Source organism: Homo sapiens, chromosome 1 (assembly GCF_000001405.40).
Source record: "Homo sapiens chromosome 1, GRCh38.p14 Primary Assembly".
Lineage (NCBI taxonomy): Eukaryota > Metazoa > Chordata > Mammalia > Primates > Hominidae > Homo > Homo sapiens.
In genome coordinates this window covers 205,570,725-205,595,216 of record NC_000001.11, presented here as the reverse complement: position 1 = coordinate 205,595,216, position 24,492 = coordinate 205,570,725, and the positions used below count along the sequence as shown (strand labels likewise).

The following is a 24,492-nucleotide window of genomic DNA, read 5'->3' as shown; positions in this document are numbered from 1 at the left end:
AGAGAAGTCTGGAGAGAAAGATGCCCCATAGGTAGATCTGGAGGTTGTGATCAGCTCTGTTTTCTGGTTTTTTTGGGGGAACACTTCACACATTTGCATGTCATCCTTGGACAGGGGCCATGCTCATCATCTCTGTGTTGGTCCAATTATAGTACATGTGCTGCTGAAGTAAGCACAGCCCTGTTTTACCATGTGGAGGGTGGCTTAGTACATGGTCCTCACCTCTAGGTGCACATTAGAATCACCCAGCAGCTCCGGACCAGTTGCATCAGACTCAGAGGTAAGGCCCAATCACTGGGTTTTGGTACCAGAACTCCAGGTGATTTTAATGTTCAGCCAGCTGGGTTAGATGGAGGCAAGACTGAAGACAAGGAGACAAGCCAAGACCCATCAAAGAAGGGATGGAGGTGATTAGAACTTGGAAAAACCTGGGTACCATTAACTAGTCCAAGCAGGTCAATGAAGATAAAGACCTTAAATTAGGCAGGGACAGTAAGAAATGAAGATGATGGATTTGAGTGATCATTTGCAGGCAGAATCAATCAATATCACTTTTTTTTTTTTTTTTTGAGACAGAGTCTTGCTCTGTCACCCAGGCTGGAGTGCAATCTCAGCTCGCTGCAACCTCCACCTCCTGGGTTCAAGCAATTCTCCTGCCTCAGCCTCCCAAGTAGCTGGGATTACAGGTGCCTGCCACCACGCCTAGCTAATTTTTGTACTTTTAGTAGAGCTGGGGTTTCACTGTGTTGGCCAGGCTGGTCCCAAATTCCTGACTTCAAGTGATCCACCCGCCTCAGCCTCCCAAAGTGCTGGGATTACAGGCGTGAGCCACTGCACCCAGCCTCACTTATCATTATTAAACTCTAACATGTGTTGATCACTTAAAACTCTCGAGTTGTACTGTGTGACATGTGATAGCTACCTTATTTCATTACTTCATTTATTCCCTTGAGGCTTGGAGACTGATGCGTGAGGGAGGAGTCTGAGGGCTCCTGGGCCCTCGCCCATGGGAGCTGGGTGCGTGGCTGTCCTGTTGTTAGGACAAGCTGCAGGGAGAGACTGTGTTTCCTTGGCCATGTCCCGTGGGGCCCAGCATGATGTCCTGAGTAGCAGAAAGATGGGTGAGGGATGGGCTGCCTGGATGATGACTGGCTGATGCATTTTCTGCCCTCAGTTTTCACCGTGGCCAGGATCTCTTCAGAGTCATGATTCAATGGAATTTATACCAAGTGTGCCCTGATTTGGGGGTGTTTCTCAGATGATGTGTAGTGCCCCCACTCAGAGGAGCCAGAAGCCAAAGAAACTCAGATACACTTGATTCTCTAATTCATTCTCTCACAGGAATTGTCTTCTAAACTGCAAATATTAAACAGCGCAGAGAATGGTCTCACAAGCTCAGAAGGGATCTGGGAGGAAATGAACTGCTAAGAGGGTTATTTTCAGCTACTTTCACTTACTGCTTTAAACTGTGCTTCTATTGTTTGAGGTTTTTGCAGTGAGCACATACGACTTATATAATAAAAAAAATTCCATTTTGAAAACAAAACAAAAAGTGTGCAGGTTTATCGTAGAAAAGATTTTATTCCTAACGACTGATGGTGATGTTATGTGCTAAAATTGTCTGGGGCTTATCCTTCAATTTCAAGGATCCAGGCTGTGGATAACTGCTGGGTGAAGCTCTAACTGCCCTGACTCTCCCTGTACACCAACTTCCCCCACTCCTCTCTAAAGAAATCGCTCATCTTTTTTTTTTTTTTTTTTTTGAGACAGAGTCTCGCCCTGTCGCCCAGGCTGGAGTGCTCACTGCAAGCTCCACCTCCTGGGTTCACGCCATTCTCCTGCCTCAGCCTCCCGAGTAGCTGGGACTACAGGTGCCTGCCACCACGCCTGGCTAATTTTTTTGTATTTTTAGTAGAGACGGGGTTTCAGCGTGTTAGCTAGGATGGTCTCGATCTCCTGACCTCGTGATCCGCCTGCCTTGGCCTCCCAAAGTGCTGGGATTACAGGCGTGAGCCACCCCGCGCGGCCAGAAATCGCTTATCTTAATGCTGGTTTTCCAGCCTCTAGTGCGTCTCTGGTGATGTTCAAAATATAATTATTTTTAATTAACTCATTAAAAAAGAGATCTTTGCTATAGGCACTCGGGAGGCTAGGGAAAGGGGAGGGAGATTAGTCGAGAGAATTAGAGATTTCTGACATCAAAGAGGCTGTGTGACTCCTGAAACCAGATCTGTGTTCTAATCCTCCACGTTTCTAACATCCACCACAGCCACAAGGCAGGCACGTACTGTTACTGAAAATTAGCTTACAAAATGCCTTTCCTATGCCATAACTTCTCCTGTGCATCTTTGCTTTTCTTTGAACTTGGCATTTCCAGCACATCCATATCGCACAAAATGTCAGCTGCAGGTCAGCAGACGTTACGATGGGGACAAAGCGGATGGAAAAAAGAAGCTTAACTGCTTCTCTGCGGCCTAAAATCCCATCATTACGGGGATCATTCTGAATGGAGGGAGCCCAGCGGGTCAGAACCACCCCGGCTGTGGGCCTGCTCCCGCCAAAGTCAGGAGGGGGGTGTTCATTTCTCCAGGGAGCTAGGGCAGCGTTCTCGCTGGGAGATGGTGCTGGCCTAGAAGAGCACAGGGGAACATCACACACCTGGGACAGTTGTGGGGTGGGGAGAGGGGGGAGGGATAGCATTAGGAGATATACCTAATGCTAAATGACGAGTTAATGGGTGCAGCACACCAACATGGCACATGTATACATATGTAACAAACCTGCACGTTGTGCACATGTACCCTAAAACGTGAAGTATAATAATAATAAAATTAAAAAAAAAAAAAAAGAGCACAGAGAGACAGGGCAGAGCGAGGCGGCGGCGCCCAGCTAGATAGAGCGCGCCTCCTGGCTCGGGCCCGGCCCTCACCTTTGTACTGCAGCGAGTCCTCCGTGTAGGCCAGCATGCTGGGGAAGGTGCTGCTGAGAAACAGGCCCAGGCTTGCCGTCCCCACGAACAGGAAGACGACGTTGTAGGAGAAAATAAGCAGCACCAGGAACGTCACCACCACGCCAACCTGTCGCGGCAGAGGTGGAGGCGGTTAGGAATTGCGAAAAGCTGAGCATCGGTGGTGAGGAACCGCCAGGAGTCGGCGTCTCCTGGCTTGGCGTTTCCTCTCTAGCCCAAGGAGCCCAGCTGTGTGACCCGCGCGCCACCCCGTGGACCAGGCGGGAACCGCAGTGTTCCGGGGACCGTTCTGACATCTGGAAGGAAGCGTGGAAAGGAGACCCCCGCCTAGACATCTTCCCACCTAGACATCTCCCCTAACAGCTACGGTACACGCTGCGTAAGCATTTGGGGACTGAGGACTACCTGTCCCCAAGGTCTTATCTGTAACCGCGGGAACTCCACCCAAGCCAATTTCATCAGCTCTCTCTGCCCTGCCAGCCCTGGGGGTAGGAGAGTCTCTGTTTCTTTGTGAGAAGCTGCTTCTCTTCTCCTGAAAGCCAAGAGTGCACAGACAGGAAGCCATCAGATAGCAGGGGAAGAGGGGTGGTGGCAGCAGGGTCCCATCCTCTGGGAATCCTAGCCAGCCACCCAGGGAGAGGGTCAGTGGCTGTGGCAGTCAGCTTGGCACCCTCAGATTTGGCTCAGATTCCCATGGGCAGATGCTAACCTATGGTTGGAGACCCAGAAATCTTTCTTTTCTTTCCTTTTTTTTTTTTTTTTTTTGAGAGACAGGGTCTCACTCTGTTGCCCAAATTGGAGTGCAGTGGTGCAATCTCAGCTCACTGCAGCCTCGACCTACAGGGCTCAAGCGTTCCTCCCACCTCAGCCTCCTGAGTAGCTGGGACCTCAGGCATGTGCCACCACGCCTGCTAATTTTCTGTATTTTTAGTCGAGAAAGGGTTCGCCATGTTGCCCAGGCTGGTCTTGAACTTCTGGGCTCAAGCAATCCATCTGCCTCAGCTTCCCAAACTGTTGGGATTACAGGCATGAGCCCCCACGCCCAGCCAAATCTTTCTAGTTCAGTAAAGGTCTCTGTCATACAGGCATGTTTTTGTTAATATAACCATATTTCTAAGTTCTTTAAACACGTTTTTATGTCTGCATTGAGTCACTTCTGTGCAAGATGTATCTGGGAATAAACCCAGGCAGCACAAGATTTGGGGTCAGAAGACCCAGGTGGAAGTCCCGATGTGTTTTTTACCAGCTGTGGAACCCAGAAGTAGCTGATTGCTCTGATTCTTAACTTCCTAATCTGCAAAATAGGAATAGTTACAAAAGCCACACTAAAGAGTGGTGGTGAAATAATACAGATGAAGGGGCTCTGTAAACTGTGGTGCTTCAGACAAATATGAGTCCTAGTGTTTCTCTGTGGGCTTTTCTTAGACGTCTCAGGAGATAAGGATCTTCTATAGCAGCCTATGGCTTTGAGGTAAAAATCTCCTGGATGAAGACATCTGTTTCTTTAAAAAGTAAGTACAGACTATAGAGCTAGGCAAGAAATCTCATCCAGCTCCCAACCCCTCCACTTCTGGGCATGCAGAAAGGAAAGACTTTCAGGGTTGGGAGCCGATCCTGGGAGAGTTGCTCCAATTGGAAAATCAAAGCCGGTGCTCCTAATCCTTGAGGCCTTTACGCTCCTCTAGCAGCCCTTCCGTCTCTGCCACAGGATCTGTTAGGTGGAAGGTGGTCTCGAGGCTCAGAGGCCTTACCCAGACAGACTTCCTTCCCTGGGGAGGGATCAGCCACAAAACAGTGGCCGAAGGAGAGAAACACATTCCCTTCAGAATGGAAATGGAAAGACAAAAGACTTCTTTCATGCAGTAAAAATATGAAAGTCATAGCATAACTATGGTTCCAAAGGTCATGTCTTTCTTTGGCACAGAACATGGTCCCTGAGATCCATTTGTTCTTGCTTTCCCCTCTGTTCACTCTCTCAATGTTGGGGTGGCCCAGGATTCTCTTCTGGCTCTTCCATGTCCGCAGTGCCCTGCTCCACGTTTCACCTGCCTCTACAGCAGGCATGCTTGTATCTATCCCTCTAGCCATGAGCTGTGTCCAGGACTCCGGACTTGCACCTAAAGCTGCCCCTTGGATATAGTCAGTCCCTGGATGACTAACCATGTGGCCCAAACTAGACTCTTAATTTCCTCTGCCAATCCTACTCCTGCACACATCAAGTGAGGGCATCCCAGTCATGCAGTTGCTCAAGTCCTGTGTCTAAGGTCCTTGATTCCTCCTTTCCTTACCTCCCACACCTGGGTCAGCAACAAGTCCTGTCCACACCATCTCAAAAAACATGTTCGATCCTTGTACTGCTCCAGATCCATCCAGACCACCCCATCCCAGCCACCTCCCTCTTGCGCCTGGACTACAATAACAGACAGTCTGTGTTTGACTCTTGCCAGCTACAGTCTGTTCTTCCACACTGGAGTGCACTTTTAAAATGCAGTGCAAGTGGCTGGAGATGGTGGCTCCTGTCTAGTTCTACCACTTTGGTAGGCTGAGGCAGGAAGGATCGCTTGGGCCCAGGAGTTCAAGACCAGCCTGGGCAACATAGTGAGACCCTGTCTCTCTAAAAAAAACAATAATAAATTTTAAAAATGCAATGCAAGCTATGTTAGATGGAAATGTGAAACATCACGGGGCACCTGTATAAGTGTCGTTTACTTCATAGCATGAATAAATGTATCTGTGAGATGCAAAAAAATAAAAAGAAAAAAGAAAATGCAACGCAGACCTGCTTAAAACCTATTGGCTTCCTGCCCACTTAGAATAAAATTCAAAGCCCACCTTACAAAACCCTGAGGATGTAGCCCCTGTTTACTTCCCCATCCTCATCTTTTTCTGCTCCCGATCCCCCACCCTGCCTACCGTGCTCCCCCCAAGTTAGCCTCCTAGCCCCTAACCCAGGCCTTTGAACACGGGCCTTTGAACTTCAGCCAGGCCTGCTCACCTCCTGCCTTCAGGGGCTGGCACCTTCTTAATATTCAGTGTTCAACTTAGGAGCCTGGGACAGATGCCGGGGTTTGGAAGCCGCCACTCCTGCTCCTCTTCTTCCACCTGGCTACCCCATGTACAAACCACATGCATTTCCAGCCATGCCTCAAAGACCGTCACCCTGAAAATCCCTAAATTTGGGGAAGTTTGAAAGACACCCGAGTCTTATTTTAGCCTTGGTGATAGAAGACTAACCAGGACGAACTATCAGCTCCACCAACTCTCTTCCCACGCAGTGTGGCCCCTGCCTCAGCCAGTGACTCAGTCTGGTACTGAGCCTGCATCCCCACTGCCTACACCCTCACCCTCCATCTGTGCTGGGGCACACTGCCCTCCTCTGGCCGGCCGTAAGCTCCCTGGAAGCAAGAACCTTGTCTTCCAGAACTTGGCGGCCTGCAGTTTGCAGCAGGGCTTTGCACATAGCACAAACATACTAAGTCAGGAAGTAGCTGTTGAGCTCCAGGAGAATGCTGAGAACAGGGTGGCCATTAATTTAACCTAGAGAGGAATACTCGGAAGTAGTCACAGTGAATATGACACAGGCACTTCACATCTACACAGGAGAGGCTTGCTCAGGGCCACTCAGCTGCAGTTCCCAAACAGGGTGCCCACAAAAGCAGCTGGAAAGCTTCCAAAACAACCCAGAGGCCCAGGCTCTTCTCCATACCTCCTAAATTAGAATCTCTGGGGTAGGGGTCCATGATCCTATTTTCTCTTTCTTTTTTTTTTTTTTTTTTTTTGATTTGAAGTCTTGCTCTGTCTCTCAGGCTGGAGGGCAGTGGCACCATTTCAGCTCACTGCAACCTCTGCCTGCTAGGTTCAAGTGATTCTCCTGCCTCAGCCTCCTGAGTAGTTGGGATTACAGGCAGGCGCCACCACGCCCGGCTAATTTTTGTATTTTTAGTAGAGATGGGGTATCACCATGTTGGTCAGGCTGGTCTCGAACTCCTGACCTCATGATCCACCCGCCTCGGCCTCCCAAAGTTCTGGGATTACAGGTGTGAGCCACCGCGCCTGGCCTTTTCATGATCCTATTTTCAAAAAGCAGCTCCAGTGAATCTAATGTATTTGGGAGTCACTTGTTCTAGGACAGTGTTTTCCTGAGCTTGCTGGATGATGTAATTCCCCTGGGGTATTTGTTTAATTTATAGATTGCTATGCCTCCTCCTGGACATTCGGATTCACTCAGTCTGGGTTGGGCCCAGGAACCTGATTTTCCTTTTTAAAACCCAGCACTCCAGGTGAGTGTCTATGGGCAATGCCTAACATATGTGGATGCTTCAGACCTTTATTTTCCCAAACCCAGATTTCCACCCACTCTCCTCTGTCTTAGCAATTGGCCTTGTGTCTGACCTAGACAGGGAAGCCAGGGCTGGCCCCATGTCTGTGCCCTTCCTCTTCTGGAACCTTTCCCCTTTGACATCGTTTCGCCCCAACTCCATGGACAGGGGCCTTCCTCCTTGCTGAGCTTAGAGCCTCCTCCACTCCCGCTCTCCATCCCACCTCCCCTCTGTCAGGGCCTTCCTCACTCGGTTACTCTCTCACAATGGTATTTTCACAGACTCCTCCTCCTAATAGGTGTCCTCCCTTTATCCTCTACTATAAGCAGGCCCATACCACCCTGAGTCCTGCAGAACACAACTCCCTTCAACTCAAAAATATTTACAAAGAGAAATGCAAATTCCTCCACTGCTCATCTCCCTCTCACCCTCAACCTCTTGCGTTTGGGTTTATCACCTACCTCCCATCTACATTGAACTGAAATTTCTTTCTTGGGGGTCAACTGGCACGAGGTCAAATCCAAAGGCCTTTCTTGGGGATCATGATCTTTGTCTCTGAAACTGCAACCTTATGTCCAAACCCGCTCTCTGCTAGAAATTCAACCAAGGAAATGCTTTCTTACCTGGACTTAGTACCCTCATTGGGCTACTTGGAAAGGTAGTGAGTTGCAGTTACTAGAGGTGTTTAAGCAGACAGTGAACCCCTTGGAAGGGATGTTATAGATAGAGGTGGCTCAAGCCTGATGGGAGGTTGGACTAGACAATTTGGCAGAAGTCTGTAATGTGGACCCCTGTGTCATGGATGGTGACCTGGATGGACACACCAAGGCAAGGGTCTTAACCCACTGCTCAGGCCCAGACCTCCTGCCTCCTAGGCAGATCAGTTCCTTGAAGGTCATCCTCCATGTCCTGCCTACTTAAGAATCACCTAGCGCTAGGCAGAGTGGCTTACTCCTGTAATCCCAGCACTTTGGGAGGCCGAGGCGGGTGGATCATTAAGAGGTCAGGAGTTCAAGACCAGCCTGGCCAACGTGGTGAAACCCCATCACCATTAAAAATACAAAAATTAGCCAGGCATGGTGGTAGGCACCTGTCATCCCAGTTACTTGGGAGGCTGAGGCAGGAGAATCACTTGAACCTGGGAGACAGAGGTTGCAGTGAGCTGAGATCACACCACTGTGCTCCATCCTGGGTGACAAAGGGAGACCCTATCTCAAAAAAAAAAAAAAAGAGTCACCTAGGAGAGCTACCAAATGCAAATCCCCAGGCCCCAGCCCAGAGGCAGTGATTCCGACGGTTGTGGGATCCCTGGCCTCCACAGCTTTCCACTGACTGGAGGGCTCTGAGCAGCTGGGCACCAAGGTAAACACAGGAGGACCAGGGCCAGCACTGGCTTTCCTCACGCTCATAGCCAGTTGTTGGCTGGGATGGGCTCCACACACTGCAGCCAGCACCTCCTACAGACCTTTCCTTTTATGTTTTAAGGGTATAAGATCAGCAGCCCAGAGAGGGGAAGGGACTTTTCATGGTCACCCAGGTAGGCTCCACCTCCCAGGCTCCCACCCCTTCCTCGTCATCCTCTCTCTCCTCTCTTCCCTCTACTCCTGAGTTCCCATCCTGCTGGCAGAATGTAGGCCTGGGCAAACGTCCTGGGGTAGGGCCAGGAGGAGGCGGCTTCTCCTGGGTCTCTCAGAAGAGAGAGGAGGCTATTCAGCTGCTTACCACGTTGATGAAAACCATGGTGGCCGGCTTCATTCTTGAGGATATGGGAATGGAGAGGAGCCGGCCCAGTGTGATGAAGCCCCAGAAGAGGCTGGGGAGGTAGCCAGCCACCTTGTGTCCCACAGACAGGGGCTTCTCCACAGCATAGCTGTACACGAAGGCGGAATAGGCACCCTGTGGAGAGACCGGGCGCTGTTGAGCACACCTGCAGCCCAGCCAGACAATGACCCTCACAAAGGGAGCCCAGGCTGGGCAGGTGTGGGGAGGGCAGAGGGAGGACTGCCTGTTCCCACTCCCAGAGGCTCAGCCAGGGCTGGGCTTGGAGTCAAGGCCACACTACACACTTGGCTCAAGCTGAGGACAGAAGCTGGGGTGCCTTAGCTTACAGACTGCACTGTGGAGACCTAGGGGTTCCAGAGAGGTGGCTCTGGATCTCCATGGGAGTGCCCGCAGGGCCTGGGCAGACAGGCACTGCTCCCCACTTCAACCAGAGCAGAACATGACTTAAAAAAAAAAAAAAAGGTGTGTGCAAGCATCTGGTTTTACAGATGAGAAAGCAGACAGAAGTGACTTGCCCGAGGTCACACCCAGTGCTGGAAGTCAACCAGTACTGTCACGAGTACTTTCCACCAGGTCATCTAAGTTTTTAGGGCTTTTTCTCTGGAGAGGTCATCATATGGCAATCAGTTGATCAGCCATTCACGACTGCCCTAATATAATCCTAAGAAGTTTCTGGAAAAAGGTGCTAACTAATGTAACAGAGGTCACTAGTGGCATGAACAGCTGGGCCTAAATTCCACCTGAAGCTTGTTTACAACACTGGCTCGAGACACCCAGGTTTGTAATGTATTCCAGGAAGCAAAGTACCCTGTTTATATAGCATGACCTCTAATTGGGGAATAGGGCACCACCCCTTTAAAAAATGCAGGTAGCCTGTCCTTGACAACAGACCAGTTAGGCCCCTACCTATAGCATTAACAAAAATAAAACAAAAATAAAAAACAATTGGCCAAGACAGAAGCCCATAGTACCAACGTGCTGTGACTGATTCTGGAGACAGTCACCCTAGGACTTCAGATTAAATTTTTGAATCAAGTGTACTCCAGGAGAAGTCTCCAGGAAACCTTCATGCTCCTCTCTTTCTCTTGCCTTTCCCAGACTGGAGTCTGGGGGTGAAGGGTCCCCCAGTAGGGGGCGCCCTCTGAGGCAGGCTCACCGTCAACCCATCCGTCATGAACAGTACCAGGGCGCCCGTGATGTGGATGGCAAAGAAGGAATAAGGGGCTCCTCTGAGGTTCTTCCTTTGGCAGCAGCTGAACAGGTCCTCATGCCCTGCAGGAGGCACAGGAAGAACAGGGGTGAGTCTCAGCTTCTGCTCCCTCCCTCTGCATGTCCCAGGGCCGTGGCTGGCAGTCAGAAGAGCCCTGCAGGATGGGGCCCACTTACTGCCTCTACTTTCACGACCTTTCTGTTAGGAATAACCCCTGTCCATCTCCCAGTCTTGGTGGAGCCAAGGCTCAGAGAGGTCAGGTGACTTGCCCAAGGTAACAAAAGGCAAGGCTGAGCAGAATGGAGGGTGAAGTCAGAAGTCTGCCTTCCTCATTCTCTTGGTCAGGTTGCACCATCAGGGCCAAGATTTTCTTTTTTTTTTTTTTTTTTAAAAAAAAAAAGGACTATCACCTGTGGCCAGGCATGGTGGCTTACACCTATAATCCCAGCACTTTGGGAGGCCGAGGCAGATGGATCACCTGAGATCAGGAGTTTGAGACCAGCCTGGCCAACGTGGCGAAACCCCTTCTCTACTTTAAAAATACAAAAATTAGCCAGGTGTAGTGGCATGTGACTGTAATCCCCGCAACTTGGGAGGCTGAGACAGGAGAATCGCTTGAACCTGGGAGGCGGAGGTTGCAATGAGCCGAGATTGCACCACTGCACTCCAGCCTGGGCGACGAGAGTGAAACTCTGTCTCAAAAAAAAAAAAAAAAAAAATCACCTGTGATCTAGGTTCACTCTCTCTGGGAGAGGGGTTACCAAGGAAGCCTCAACATGAGGCTGTGAGGATGCAGATTCATTAGAGCCCCTACCTAGGTGTGACTGAAACTTTGGGGGCAGTGAGGAGGCATCTTCCTTCTCAGGAGGCTGTGTCTCCAAGGCAAGCTCATCAGCAGACAGAAGCAGGGGCCTCCTCTGGGGACAGCAGGTCAGCAGCCGCTCCTTGGACAGCAGCATCAGCACAGCCATGGGCACTGGAAGCTGGGGAGCAGGCAGAGGGTCAGGAGAGCCCTGCCCTGAAGCTCCCCCTTCCCACGCCTGGCCTCTGCACACACTGCATGTGCATAGTCCTGGGAGAAGACAGCTCTTTTCTAAGGGTGCCCAGCTAAAAGCTGAGCCATCCCAACCTAAGAAGCCAGGTGCCTTGACCAAGGTAGGAGTGGGGAGGCCTGCTGTAATTGCTGCCTGATCACCATACTCGCGTCCCTGAAAAGACAGATATTTGTCGCATGCAAAGCTTAGACTCAAACTCTCTGCTGGCCCAGGAGAGGTGCTGGGAGTAAGCTTGCTGGAGTGTCACACCTCACACTCCTTCATGCTGGTGGGTTGCGTGATGCTTTACAAAGCAGCTTTGCTTTTGGGCATCACATCTCTACAAAACATGCTGGGGGATGTTATCACTTAGTCGTAACCTGTTAGAACTGGAAGAGATCTGAGGGGTAAACTAGAGACTGAGAGACTGCCCTGGTCACACAGTGGACTTGGGGCAAAGCCAGAATGGAGCCTGGCATCCTGATCCTTCCAGTGCTGTCTCTACCTAAGGAGATGCCTTGGTGATGTTGATCCTAGCAGGGCACAGAGGCTCTTCTCAGGGGCTTGAAAACAAAAACATGATCTCCTTTTGATTGAGAAATACATGTTTACGAACAGCCTGTACACATAAGCCCTATGTTCAGTTTGCTGCTATTTATGCTAAATCGGAACTCCTTCAGAGCAGTGGGAAATGGCTCCTGCTTCTGAGGTTGCCTGGGGAAGCCTCCACCACCTCCCTCAGGGGCCCCTGCTTGTGTCTCACCACCCTGGTTGCCAGGAAGTACCGCATCAAGTCTAACTATTGTCCTTCTTGCTGCAACTTCAGCCCAGTTCCTTTCACTTAGGAAAGACAGGAAGCCCAGGGAGCTGCAGATGTCTCCCAGAGGCTGGTGAGAGCGCCCAGCTATTGGGCTCTTCCTGGCCCACGGGAGAGGCATAGGATAGAGATGGAAGGCTGGCAGACTGCCAGCCCCTGCCTGGTGGTGTTCTGGGGGAGCCCTTCCCTGCCCCTGGAGGCAGGCTGGCTCTCACCAGTATTTCCTCAAGTCACCTAACAGGAGTGAAAGACAAAAACCACCCCTGTGTTGGCACCTCCCTATGGTGACCTTGGGAGCCTTTCTGCACACTCAAAAAGAAGTCAAGGTCAGACATGGCCCCTGGCAGTCAGGCCTGAGTGGGGAGAGAACAGCCCCTGCTGAGCCCTAATGGGGGAGACACAGCCCTTCCTCCAGTGTGAGGGGGGAAACAGGAAACCCACCCACAGAGGCCTGTAGTGGCAGAGTGCCTGAGTGAAGGCCAAGTGGAAACAGCTGTACAAGAGGCGTGATCGCTCAGGTGGGGCTTTCCAGGGAGGTGGGTGCTGGGAAGGGCTTCACAGAGGATTGGCTGGCATTGCTGGCAGGAACACACCCAATTTTATAAGAATTCCATTCAGGGAAGGCAGCCCCACCTTAAAAGTCAGAGAAGGGCAGGTGGGGTGCACATGTGTGTGTGCGTGTGCACCCACATGAGTACATGCACAGCCCATCTTCCTCCGTGCTGGACTGTTTATTTTCAGACACAAACCAATAGAAAAAGTCCGGAAATCCTGCAGCAAACAAAGTCCCTCCAGCCTGCACTTCATGGGGCAAGAGAGAACAAACCTCGGGCTTAAGCCGGACCTTCCGGCTTCCTGGTCTGGGAGTCTCAGCCTAGAGGTTCTACTGACACTGCTCCTTTCCTTCGCAGGTCTCTCCTGGAAGGAACGGGCCCAAAGCCGCATTCTTTCCAAAACAATGGATGGGCATGGGCTGAAAAGGGAAGGAGCAGACGGAGAGGGTGGGTTTATGAGAGCCCCCAGAGGAGATTCGGGCCAGGGAAAGGAAATCTACAAAGGAAAGGAAGGAAAAGGACTGGTGATGAGGGGGCAGCAGGTAGATGGTCTATGCTGAGGGTCAGGGCTTCCAGCCGGGCTCAGCCTCCTATCAGTCCCTTGTCAGGGCTTTGAGCTGGTGATGGCATGACACCCCCACCCTTGCCCTGCTGCTCACTGGAATGGTGGTCTCAAAGGCTCCTTTCAGTGCTATGTGTGTGGCATATTCTGAGGCTCAGCAGCAGCTGGGCAGCTGCTCTAGTGCCTGAGTCCAGCCCACCTGCCCCAGGAGAGCTGAGAAGTCCACCTACTGCAAAGAGAGGCTCTAAGCCACCATGACAAGCAGCATGGTGCCTCCATCCCACAGCCAAGACAGTGGCCACTGTAATGCTCCCCACCCCCGGCCCAGGAGCCAGGGATGCTCTGGTGTTCCCGACAGTCCTCCCCAACCCAGGTGGATGGGGGTAGGGGGTCTCCCCACCTGACACTCTGGCTCCAGTCTGGGCTAACGTGAGAGATCCCAACTTGGGTTTGCAGAGCACCAGAGGAGGTTTCCAGCTGGAGGCCAGAGTCAGTGCTGACTTGGCAGGGGTGTACAAAGCGGGCCTCGGTATGTGACGCAGTCACGGGGTGAAGTGGTCTCTCGCTGTTCCCACCATAGGCTGCCTTGGCAGGCAGGGCCCTTCAGAGGTCATCTTGTCTGTCTCCTAGCCTCCACAGGAGCCCCTGACAGGAGGGCACAGGAGAATCCCACCATTGATGAAGGGACCCAGAGAAAAACCTTCCACTTCCTGCCGGGGTCTGTCCAGGGTCCACTTCATCTGGCCTTGGAGGAAAAAACTAGTTTCCCACAGAACCTCAGATAATTCGAAAGTTGACCCTGATTTTCACTGTGCTCAGCTCACTGTTTTACCCTCCTTGAGAACTGCAATCACAGGTCGCTGAAGGATGGTGGAGTAGTGCAGGGGATCCCGGGGAGGGTTTGTCCTCCCATCCTCCTGCCTCTGGGATGCACACCTCAGCCCCAGCACGTTTCTCAGCATCTGAAGAATCTTCACTGGGTGTGGGGTGGACTGGGATGTGTGGACTGTCCACTAGCTCCCTACCTGGCCCACCCCAGGGACACTCACATTGATGAGGGCCATGATCCAGAAGGCATAGGACACTCGGGTCCCTGCCCCGTCCTTTGGAGTCAGCCCTGGGAACGTCTGGTTGGACCAAGGCTTGGCATCTACGTGGTGCTGGCCCAGCACCCTGGAGACATGGAACAGGTGGCCTCGGGAGGTGGTGTTGGCCGTGCTATTGGCAGGCAAGCAGTTGGCCTCAGACAGGAAAGGGTCAGCAATAAGGGGGCTCAGCAGAGCACCAAAGCCCACGAAGAAATGGAGCACCTGGGGACAGAGGAGAGGTGGCGGGTGGGGGTGGGGGTCAGTCTTCAGCCCGGGGAAGTGGTGGCCTGGCCTCCGGTCCAGAGGACCCACACTGAGCCCCCTCCCCCAGCCCCACCCTCTGCCCCATGTAGGGGCTGTTGCCCAGCCCTGGAATGGGGAGCCATGGGTGCAGGAAGCAGGAGAGGTGAGGGGAGGTGAGGAGTGACACACCTCTCTCAACCACCCTGCCAGCCTGGGATGACTCGGGTGACAGTGCCCAATTCCCTCCCCATCTCTGTTAATCCTCAGCTGGGACTGATCACCATGTTAGCATCCACCAGCTAACACCCTAAAGGGAAGGGGGCACAAAAAGGGAAGGGCTGGCTGAATCCTGGGCACAAAAAGGGAAGGGCTGGCTGAATCCCGGGGGGAGAAAGACGAAGAAAGGAGAGAGAGGGAAGGAGGGGAAGGAGAGGGGAGGCAAGCCCTGAGTCACACCACCTTTCCAGTTCGCAAAGAGCTTTCTTTCCCAAGCGCTTAGGCTCCTGGGACACCCTGCAGTGAGGGCAGGGATCACTGCTCTGCTTTAGAGATGGGAAAACCGAGTCTAGAACTTACTAACCCAGCTGGTAAGTGGGCCCCTGGGGGAGGAGGCTGGGAGAGACTGAGGGGGCCTAGGGAGCTCCCATGCCCTCCCCAGCTCCCAGCCCTGTGCCTGCTGGCCGGGCTTACCTGGAGGAAGACGGCCGAGTCCTTCTGGTACATCCTTACCAGCTGCATGTTGGCCACGGTGTCGATGCAGCCCATGGCCAAGCCCGCCAGCGCCATGACTGAGGCCAGCACCTTCACGTCGCGGCAGAAGGGGATGACGGCAAACACCAGGGAGATGGCCAGAGAGGAGGTGAACAGGGCCCATAGTGACTGGGCCAGGCTGCAGGAGGGAAGGGTGATGTCAGGGGATGGGGCTGGAAGCATCCCCTCCCCCTTCTCCTCCATTCACTGGGTGGTCTGGGCAGCCAAGACATTTCTCCCCCTCTGGTAGAAAAGGAAGAGAGCTGAGGAAGAAGCTGCTCACTTATTAGCTGTGGGCAAGTTGTCAAAGTCTGCTCAGATAACAATCTACCTCACAAGGTGGCTGCAGGACACTTCACAAAGCCTAGCCACTAGTATTCTACTTACAAACAATTGCACGTTATTTCCTTAAACCCTAAATTGTTTACTTAAAAGCAATTAAATGCAAAAATATTCCCCACCCTTTTCAGGGAACCTGTTTTGAGCATCTCAAGAGGCATGTGTCATAGGCATGCAACCGCAGGTGGGACCCACCTGGATGGAACCTGAGCCCAGAAGTCTCAGAGCTGGGCATTTCTTCTTGCCCAGGAATTGGCGCTGGCTGCCCTGTGTCCTCCCCACACAGGAATGGTGAGGACGCCATTGCTTCACAGGCACCCGGCCTGAGACGCCCACACCAGCGCCCACAACCCAGGTATTCAGGTGATTTGATGACCCCTGTAGCAGGCAGAGGTCGCAGGCTCTGTGCCTGGCAAATGTGCAGAAGTGGGGAAAGGAGGGGCTGTGGCCATACACACTGAAAGGTGACCGTGTTGATCTTCCCCTTTTTCAGATAATAGAAAAGCCCACAGCAGGCAGGGGGAGGGCCTGCTACCCTATCAGTGAATGAATGAATGATTGGATGGAGTGTCTAAGGCTCTGTCAAGGTCTTTTTTGGGACACTCTGCCCAATAACCAGACTCTCAGAGAAAGGATAAAGACTTGTATTTTCTGAGACCAGTCTGAAAGTCTAATGTCAGAGAGGAGAGATTGGGCAGCAGGCAGGTTCTGGAGGTTGTAGAGGAACTTTCTCAGATTATGAAAAGGGAGAGAGCCCCCCACCCCATCAGCCTCCAGTGTGGCTGCTGGACCTGGAAAGGTGGGAGCTGAGAGAGGGGAGGGGGAAAGGCCTCTCTGAGTTTCACACTGAAAAAAAAAGAGGAGGGCCCCAGTGATCACTCAGGCTGTCTTCCCAGAGCTTCTGCCCCTGACCCCCTTGGCTCTTGGCCTTGGCCCTCAGCCATCTCATCTTGCCCCATCTTTGATTAAATCCTCTATCAGAATGGCTCTGCTGATAGAGCAGTTCGTTACTTTCTCCTTTCTTGTTTCCAGGCTGATCTGCTGGGGAGATTACCGATCATGACAGTCATGACCCCAGCATGTTCCCAGCTCAGAACTCATGGGGGAGGAGAGGGGGACCAACCTCAAGGCCAGCTGTTAGGAGATGGAGGGAGAGTGCGTCATGGGGAGGCAATGCTAACACACACCGTGGGCTGATAAAACAGCAGGCTGCTCATCATAGTTCTCTCTCTTTCCCCTCCCTTTCCCTGGACAAGACAGACTAGGCAGCCTCCTAGGTGGCCTGACTTCAGGGATAGCCAGAGAGTCCCCTGTCTGCACTCTCAGAGGTCCCTCTACTGACACGGGTACCAGGACATGACATTTCTACCACCTCACTCACCACTTTGCGTAAGCAGGGATGCCCCAAGGCAAGTGCAAAAACTCTCTCGAAGAACTAGCTCATTATCATTATTGTCTTTCAATCCTGCAGGAAAGTGAAGTCATCCATCCTGCAGCAAAGTCCTGAGGGGAACGGGACCTGGGATCAGTAAACTGACAGGGGCAGGGGCTGCGCAGAGGTATGGGAAAGGAAACCAGGATGATAGCGAGTACTACGGTCTGCTGACAACTGCTAACGTTTGTCACTTGGTTCATATGACAAGGCTATGAAGCAGGCTTTGTCGTTGTGCCCATTTGACCAGTGAGTAAACTCGGGCTGAGAAAAGCTAAGATAGCAGCAGACAGAGCCTGAACTCTAACCAAGGTCTTCTGGCTTGATAGTCCCTATGCTATGCTGCTTTTCCAGGGAGGAGTGTGTGTGCGTGCACATGTGGGTGCATGTGTATGGGTATGTGACTGAGTTACTCGCTAATGGCTCCACTCAGAAGGTGCAAATGCAGGAGGGGAGAGGAAGGAGCCACGGACCCAGCCAGGCTGGAGAGGGGAGTGCCAGCCGAGAATAGGAGGCCAGATTCTGCAGAGCGTTGAATGGCAAGGCTAGGAAGCACTGGAGAGCAGCTGCGGTCTCTAGAACATGCGCCTCTAACACCCCTCTGCGGGGGTTAGCAGAGATCCACATGCTCGCGAGCATCACTGCTGGCTCCACCACCAGCTTCCCCAGGCATCTGCCTCTGCCTGTTCATTGTGGAAGCCATGCCTGGCCCCATGTTCGGCTCTGCAGAGACGCTCAACCCAGGTTCCTGGACGTGGCTAGTGACCGGCGCAGTGCTTGGGGAACGCTTGTCTTGCCAGCCCACATGGGGTGGCCTGGTAGAAGGGACTGGGCACTGCTGGGAGGCCGATGTGGGAGTTTTGCTAGTTTATCTGATAGGGGAGACAGAGATAGAGGCAGAGAAAGAATCATGTAGGGACGGGTTGCCAGGAAGGTGCCCGGTGTACAGTGGGGATTGGGAAAAAGAGAAGGGGTCAGTAAGGGCTGGAAGGGGTCAGGAAGCCCTGTCCAGGTCTCATCTCTGTCCTGTTCACTGCTGTTTGTCTCCTTTCACCTGTCATTCTTGAGAAGGACACTAGGTGCCCACTGGAGGTATGGTTTGTCCCAGGCTCAGCCACAGGCAGGAGGGAGGGATAAAGAGAGAAAAGACGGAAAAGGGAGGTTGGAGAGAACCACGCCTGGGAAATCCCCTCCCTGCATCTCCCTGGACTGTGATTTTAGTTTGATAGGCCTGGAGGTTAGGGCGATGGAGACCTGTTCCCAATAAATGGGGACATCTGTATCACAGGAAATCTTGTCTGTAGATCCCAGGCTGCCCACCCTCCCCAGTTGCTTCCATAGGGCTGTGCCTGGGCATTCCAAACATCAGCCTGAACAAATTTCTTTAGAATGATATGCTGTTGCCAAGGAAAAGGAAGTCCCAGACACATCCCAGAGCCAGACCGAAATACATTTATTGCCTGTTTTAAATGGCTTGGTCAATAGCCCCTTCTAGGAATGTGGATAATTAAAAATTATGGAATAACCATGTCAAAACAGTTTTGGCATCCAGGATGGAGTGCGATCTGGAATCAGAATACTGGGTTCTAGGCCCACCTTGGCCACTTCCCAGAGATGTGGCTTGGGCAAGCCACTTATGCTTAGCCCCTCTGAGCCTCAGTTTCCTCTGCTGTAAAATGGGGATAACAAGCTCTGCATGAGGTTGGGGCTGCCACGAGGAGTCCATGTGATGTGACATTTCATCCTCCTTTGCTCACTCTCTGGGATTTTCCCCTGGCCACTTGCCACCCCTCCCAGGTGCTCACTGCCTCCCTGCTGGCCCTGGCTTCCCCAAAGAGCAATGTTGGGCCCAGAGAACTGCACTGAGCTGACAGGGTACAGAGACCAGTGCCAGCTCCCAGATTCTACCCTCCCAGGCCTGCCCCTATTCCTGCTGCAGTGCCCTTTGGGGTGACCCTGGGAGGCTGGCCCAGGAACTGTTGGAGGGAGATACCCCTGCTCCTACCTCTTGTCCCCCGCCCCACTCACTCTCCACCCTGGGCAGCGTCCCAGCTAAGGTGGCAGCAATGACATGAGTCCTGTCCCTCATTTTACAGATCAGGAAACTGAGGCCCAGATAGGGGAAAAGAGAGGAGTAGAACTGAGCCAGGATCCAAAGTCTTGGCTCCCAACCCAGGCAAAGCCAGCAGAGTGGCAGAGTGGCATTGGTCTTCCCTCCCCTGGTCCTGGGCTCACAGGTTAATTCAGGCCAATTAGAGAAAGAGCCTCACTTTCCCCAAGGCCCAGAGAGACCCAAGATATAGCCTGGACAGTCTGGAAAACCTACTTCAGGAAGTCTCAGAAATGACCAAGTTACTTATTAATGGCTCCACACAGAAGGTCTAAGTGGGAGAGGGAAGAGGAAGGAGCCTGAGTTCTCCCCCAGGTGAGCTGTGGCTCTGCTGGAGCTGCCTGCCCAGCCCCTGTTGCTGGGTGACCTTGAGCTGCTGCTGCCCCCTTCAGCCCCATGCTCTGCCTTACCCACAGGGCATACATGATCACTTTGACCTGGCCTTGCCTTGAGCACCTGTTCTTGCCTTCCTGGTTCTGTGAAAAGAGGAGGGAATAGTTGGCTCTGAAACAGGGGAAGGGCCTGAGCAGTAAGATGCCAGGCAGCCCATTCCTGCCTGCCACCCCAGGGGTGGGGAAGAATGCTGCTGAAGCCCAGCCCCCATGCCACCCTGGGTAGGGCCTGATGGCATCGACATTCTCTTCACATGTTTGTCCCAGGTGATCCCTCTGCCCAGCAGGGATGCTTAGGACATCTTCCTCCCACCTCTCCCCTCCCAGCCTGGAAAATCTCCTTCCTCGAAGGACCAGGGGAGAAGGGCAGGGAGCAGAAATGTGGAAGAGTCACGGATGGAAGTGTCCCTAGCCCCTATCCACCCCAAAAGGGGCAGCAGCCCAGAAGGAGATGGTTTGGGGACCTGGGACAAGAAACCAGTAGACAAGGGACCCCCTGGGAGCTAGGGCAGGCTGGTGACTCTATCTCAGGCCAGGCTGATGGGGAAGGGGCAGCTGAGACTGAGGGCAAGGCCAGGGATAAAAAGGCCCCCCTCTAACTTGGTCACCCCAGCCTTCACACTGACACCTCAGTTGTTAAGGGCCCCATGTTAAAGCTGGAGAGATCCAAAGGGAGGGGCAGACAAACTGGTCTTTGGGGAGATTCCAAGCTACGGCAGGACCACCCTGTTAGACTCTGAGGTTGGGAGCTGCAACTTGTGCATGATGGCATCCCCTGGGGCCCACCATGGTGCTAGGCACACAGGGCGTGCTCCTTAGATGTTGGTTGAGCTTGAACTTGCAGTCTGTTCACTTGGAACACCTCTCCCTCAATTCTTTGCACGCCTGGCTCTCTCCTGTCGCGCAAGAGTCAGCTTTAATATCATCTCCCCAGAAAGGGCTTCCTTGATCACCTAGCTAAGTGGCCCCCAAAATGTGCCACTCTCCATGCTACCCTGCTTGATTTCCTTCATTTCACAATGTAAAATTCTCCACAGTGTGGGCTCCAAGAGTGCAGCGACTTTTACTTTGTCTGTTGTAGTCACCCTTAAAACAGGATCCGGCTCAAGAGGTATTTGTTGAATGAGTGAATTAATGGATGGTATAAGTTTTGAGATTTTTGTTTTGGTTTTTGAGATAGGGTCTTGCTCTGTTGCTCAGGTGGGAGTGCAGTGATGCAATCATGGCTCACGACAGCCTCAACCTCCAGGCTCAAGTGACCCTCCCACTTCTGCCTCCTGAGTAGCTGGGACTATAGGTGTGCACCACCATGCCCAGCTAATTTAAAATTTTTTTTGAGACAAGGTCTCACTGTGTTGCCCAGGCTGGTCTTGAACTCCTGCCCTCAAGTGGTCCTCCCACCTTGGCCTCCCAAAGTGCTGGAATTACAGGTGTGAGCCACCGAACCTGGCTTTGAGGTTTTTTTAACTTAAAAAAAATTGATATATAAATTACATACTATAAAATTCACATATTTAAGCGTACAATTCAATGGTTTTTAGAATATTTGGAGTTGTAAAACCATCACTACAATCTACCTTTAGAGCATTTCTGTCACCCCAAAAAGAAATCTTATATCCAGGCCAGGCGCAGTGGCTCACACCTGTAATCCCAGCACTTTGGGAGGCCAAGGTAGGCGGACTGCTTGAGGTCAGGAGTTCGAGGGCAGCCTGGCCAACACGGTGAAACCTGTCTCCACTAAAAATACAAAAATTAGCTGGGTGTGGCAGCGCATGCCTGTAATCTCAGCTTCTAGGGAGGCCTGAGGCATGAGAATTGCTTGAACCCGGGAGGCAGGGTTTGCAGTGAGATGAGATCGTACCACCTCACTGCAGCTTGGGCAAAAGAACAAGACTATGTCTCAAAAAATAAAAATAAAAAAGAAATCTTATATTCATTAGTAGTCACTCCCCATTCATCTCCACACCTTACCCTTAGCCCTAGGCAACTACTAATTTAGTTTCTGTATCTGCAGATTTCCTTATTCTGAACTTTTACATAAATTAAATGATATGTGATCTCTTGTGTCTGTCTTCTTTCACTTAGCATAATGTTTTCCAGATCATCCATGGTATAGCATGTGTCAGTATCTCATTCCTTTTTATGGCTGAGTGATATTCCGTTGCATGGATATACCACTTTTTTTTTTTCTTTTTTTGAGACAGAGTTTCGCTCTTGTCACCCAAGCTGGAGTGCAATGGCACAATCTCGGCTAACTGCAACCTCCGCCTCCTGGTTCAAGCGATTCTCCTGCCTCAGCCTCCCGAGTAGCTGGGATTACAGGCACGTACCACTGTGCCTAGCTAATTTTTGTTTTTGTTTTTTTTTTAGTAGAGATGGGGTTTCACCATGTTGGCCAGGCTGGTCTTGGACTCCTGACCTCAGGTGATCTACCCGCCTCAGCCTCCCAAAGTGCTGGGATCATAGGAGTGAGCCAATGTGCCCGGCCAATATACCACATTTTTGTTTTGTTTGGTTTTGACACTGGAGTCTCACTGTGCTGCCCAGGTTGTCTTTGAACTCCTGGGCTCAAGCGAGCGTCCCACCTCAGCCTCTCAGGTAGCTGGAACAACAAGGCATCCACCACCACACCTGGCTGGATAAACCACGTTTTTGTTTGTCCATCCATCCGCTGATGGACATTTGGTTTGTTTCTACTTTTTGACTCGGATGAATAATGCTGCTATGAACATCCACGTACAGGTTTAGTGTGTGGACATACATTTTCAATTCTTTGGGGATCATACCTGGGAGTTGGGACCCTATGATAGCCCCATGTTGAGACTGATTTTTAAAACAAGGACAATGTCTGGTACTGGACGCTCAGTAGGCTTTTGGCACAGGTTTGTTGCATGCTGACTGGTAGACAAGGTGCTGGAGGGAGAGGCAGAGGCTTTCTGGATGGGAGACCAACCACAGCCCAGCTCAAGGGGAGAAGCTGGTTTGTCCTGTGTTCCAGGGACTGGAGGGGGCCAGCATATCTAGGGGTGGCCTGGGCAACTGGTGTATGGAAGACAGGGTTTGGTGCAATGGCCAGGAGGGAGTCATAGCTAGGTCTGGGGCAGGGTAGGACTTGCAGATTAGGAGGAATTTGAGGGGGAAAAAAGGAACAAAAAGAGAAAAGTGAATAGGTCAAAGAGAGGAAGAACTCAACAGATCCTCTGACAAACCCTCTGTTAAGAAAGCATGGGCAGGGGAGAGGCCAAGGTGAGGCTGGGAGAAGCCTGGGGAAGCTCTGAAAGTTGTTTACCTATGCTGACGCCTTCGAGATAAAGGGGTCTCCTAATTCCCTAGGGCGGTTAGACAGATCCCCAAGAAACCAGGAAAAATCCTAACCTTTAATCTAAATACCCCTTCCCCTTTCCTGCCTGACAAAGCACACACCTACACACCCTTGCCAACCAGGTGGCTTTTTGTTTTTCTCTGAGAGAGTGAGCAAGCTGGTGCTGCCCTGAGCTCAAGTCTTCCCCTGCACCCACTCCAATAGCCAAGGCTCTCCACCTTCCACACGTAGTCCTCCCAAAGCACATCCCTATGGAGGCATCCACAAGCCCCATTCTGCCTGTGCCCTCAGTCTGGGCCCAGCAGTAGGCAGGACCTGAGTAGGAACCCACGAGAAAGACACTGCCCCCAACTATCCTCTCCCATGTGTCATCCTAAACTTTCCCCCACTCCCCCGCAACAGCTGGCTCTCACAGATTTGTTAAAGCAATCCCCCACTCACAAGTATAAACCAAGTGAGAGCGTTAGCTGGTAATCACTTAAGCTGCAAAGCACTTGCTTGCAGGGGTATTGCATTTTAACTGAGACATGGTCCCACAGAATCCAGCTTTAAAGCTTTGTTGCAGGGCTGGTGGAGCTTCTGGCTGGGGGGATGGGAGACTGTGATGAGAGCTGCCCAGAGTCAGCAAGGTGGTGGGAGACTGTCGCCTACACTCAAGGCCACCCCTGGACATCCCTCTGTTTCCACTGTATATCTGCTTTGCTCTTAACCAAAGGAAAGAGTTCTTCATGGCATTTTGTCTTGGGGGTGGGAGGACTGAGGTTCAGAATTTAAACCTCAACCACTGATAGGATCTACCCCACCCCAAAAAGATCCCAGCAGGAAGCCCCAGAGGGCCACCATTACATTCCCAGAAGTTGTCAGAGCTCAGGAATACCCAGCCCATGAGCATCCTTAGGGCTACTCATCCCAAACCTGTGCCTGATCTGCAGAGTTTACACTGATGACTCACAAAGCAAGAGGGATTGCCTAAGTATCTGTCTTAGAGACAACACCTGGGTTCAAATTCTGTCTAGGCCTCTTCTTAACAACCATGTGATGTGGGCCAAGTTTCTTAACCTCTCTGTGCCTCCACTTCCTTATGCATAAAATGGAGATAACAGTACTACTTCGCAAGGTGGTTGTGAAGATTAAATGGGCTGATACATGTGAAGTACTATGAATAGTGCCTGGCACACAGTAAGTGCAGAATAAAGTTAGTTATCATTGTTACCATGATTTTTTTTCTCTTCTGTGAGCCAGTTCCTGCTGCAGGGTTCTCTCTGCTGCCTGTTCAGAGCCCCCTGTTGGGTAAGCAGTGCTGAGGAAGATACAAAACTACCCAGGAAGAGATGGCCCAGCTGGGTGGGTGTGCATCTCTGCTGGCTTCACAAACCCTGCCCTGCCAACCTGTCATTTCAAATTATCCTCCTTCCCCTCCGTGTTCTTTGCACTACATATTTTCTTTAAAAGTTCCAGGTAAAGGAGCTTTTGTAAGTCAAAGTACTTAAAACCAAAAAACCTGTGCTAGCCACAGATACTTTATCTTAGTTTCTAATTAAACCTCTAGGCAGAATGAATCTTGAGCTTG

The 24,492-nt window shown here is 51.8% G+C and overlaps 1 protein-coding gene, 1 long non-coding RNA gene and 1 pseudogene across 2 annotated transcripts in view, besides 6 other annotated features; 1 reads left to right on the top strand and 2 right to left on the bottom strand.

The window, feature by feature from the left end:
• The window catches only part of SLC60A1 (solute carrier family 60 member 1), a 33,905-nt gene that overhangs the window by 7,702 nt on the left and 1,711 nt on the right, over nucleotides 1-24,492 (bottom strand). Inside the window, exons 2-7 of the mRNA NM_181644.5 lie at nucleotides 15,268-15,466; nucleotides 14,296-14,556; nucleotides 11,094-11,262; nucleotides 10,226-10,341; nucleotides 9,010-9,183; nucleotides 2,930-3,077 (exon numbers count right to left, since the gene is read on the bottom strand). Coding sequence (NP_857595.3) covers nucleotides 2,930-3,077; nucleotides 9,010-9,183; nucleotides 10,226-10,341; nucleotides 11,094-11,262; nucleotides 14,296-14,556; nucleotides 15,268-15,466 — 1,067 coding nt within the window. The remainder of the gene's footprint in view (nucleotides 1-2,929; nucleotides 3,078-9,009; nucleotides 9,184-10,225; nucleotides 10,342-11,093; nucleotides 11,263-14,295; nucleotides 14,557-15,267; nucleotides 15,467-24,492) is intronic.
• On the bottom strand, nucleotides 70-176 carry RNU6-418P (RNA, U6 small nuclear 418, pseudogene; annotated as a pseudogene).
• Nucleotides 2,462-2,962: an enhancer, noted in NCBI's record as "H3K4me1 hESC enhancer chr1:205561383-205561883 (GRCh37/hg19 assembly coordinates)". NCBI's record gives its function as "activates a minimal SCP1, AML or CMV promoter by ChIP-STARR-seq in primed H9 embryonic stem cells {active_cell/tissue: H9 hESC(primed)}" and the evidence as "EXISTENCE:reporter gene assay evidence [ECO:0000049][PMID:30033119]".
• Nucleotides 2,462-3,336: a biological region, named in NCBI's record as "Sharpr-MPRA regulatory region 9898".
• Nucleotides 2,862-3,221: an enhancer, noted in NCBI's record as "active region_2382". NCBI's record gives its function as "activates an Ori minimal core promoter by ATAC-STARR-seq in GM12878 lymphoblastoid cells {active_cell/tissue: GM12878}" and the evidence as "EXISTENCE:reporter gene assay evidence [ECO:0000049][PMID:35858748]".
• Nucleotides 3,042-3,336: an enhancer, noted in NCBI's record as "tiled region #9898; K562 Activating DNase unmatched - State 1:Tss". NCBI's record gives its function as "activates a minimal TATA promoter and a strong SV40 promoter by Sharpr-MPRA in K562 cells {active_cell/tissue: K562}" and the evidence as "EXISTENCE:reporter gene assay evidence [ECO:0000049][PMID:27701403]".
• Nucleotides 3,072-14,297, top strand: LOC124904491 (uncharacterized). Its single transcript, XR_007066823.1, has 3 exons — nucleotides 3,072-3,347; nucleotides 10,168-10,367; nucleotides 13,042-14,297. It is a non-coding gene; the product is annotated as an uncharacterized LOC124904491 (long non-coding RNA).
• Nucleotides 8,156-8,946: an enhancer, noted in NCBI's record as "H3K27ac-H3K4me1 hESC enhancer chr1:205555399-205556189 (GRCh37/hg19 assembly coordinates)". NCBI's record gives its function as "activates a minimal SCP1, AML or CMV promoter by ChIP-STARR-seq in naive H9 embryonic stem cells {active_cell/tissue: H9 hESC(naive)}" and the evidence as "EXISTENCE:reporter gene assay evidence [ECO:0000049][PMID:30033119]".
• Nucleotides 9,426-9,475: an enhancer, noted in NCBI's record as "active region_2381". NCBI's record gives its function as "activates an Ori minimal core promoter by ATAC-STARR-seq in GM12878 lymphoblastoid cells {active_cell/tissue: GM12878}" and the evidence as "EXISTENCE:reporter gene assay evidence [ECO:0000049][PMID:35858748]".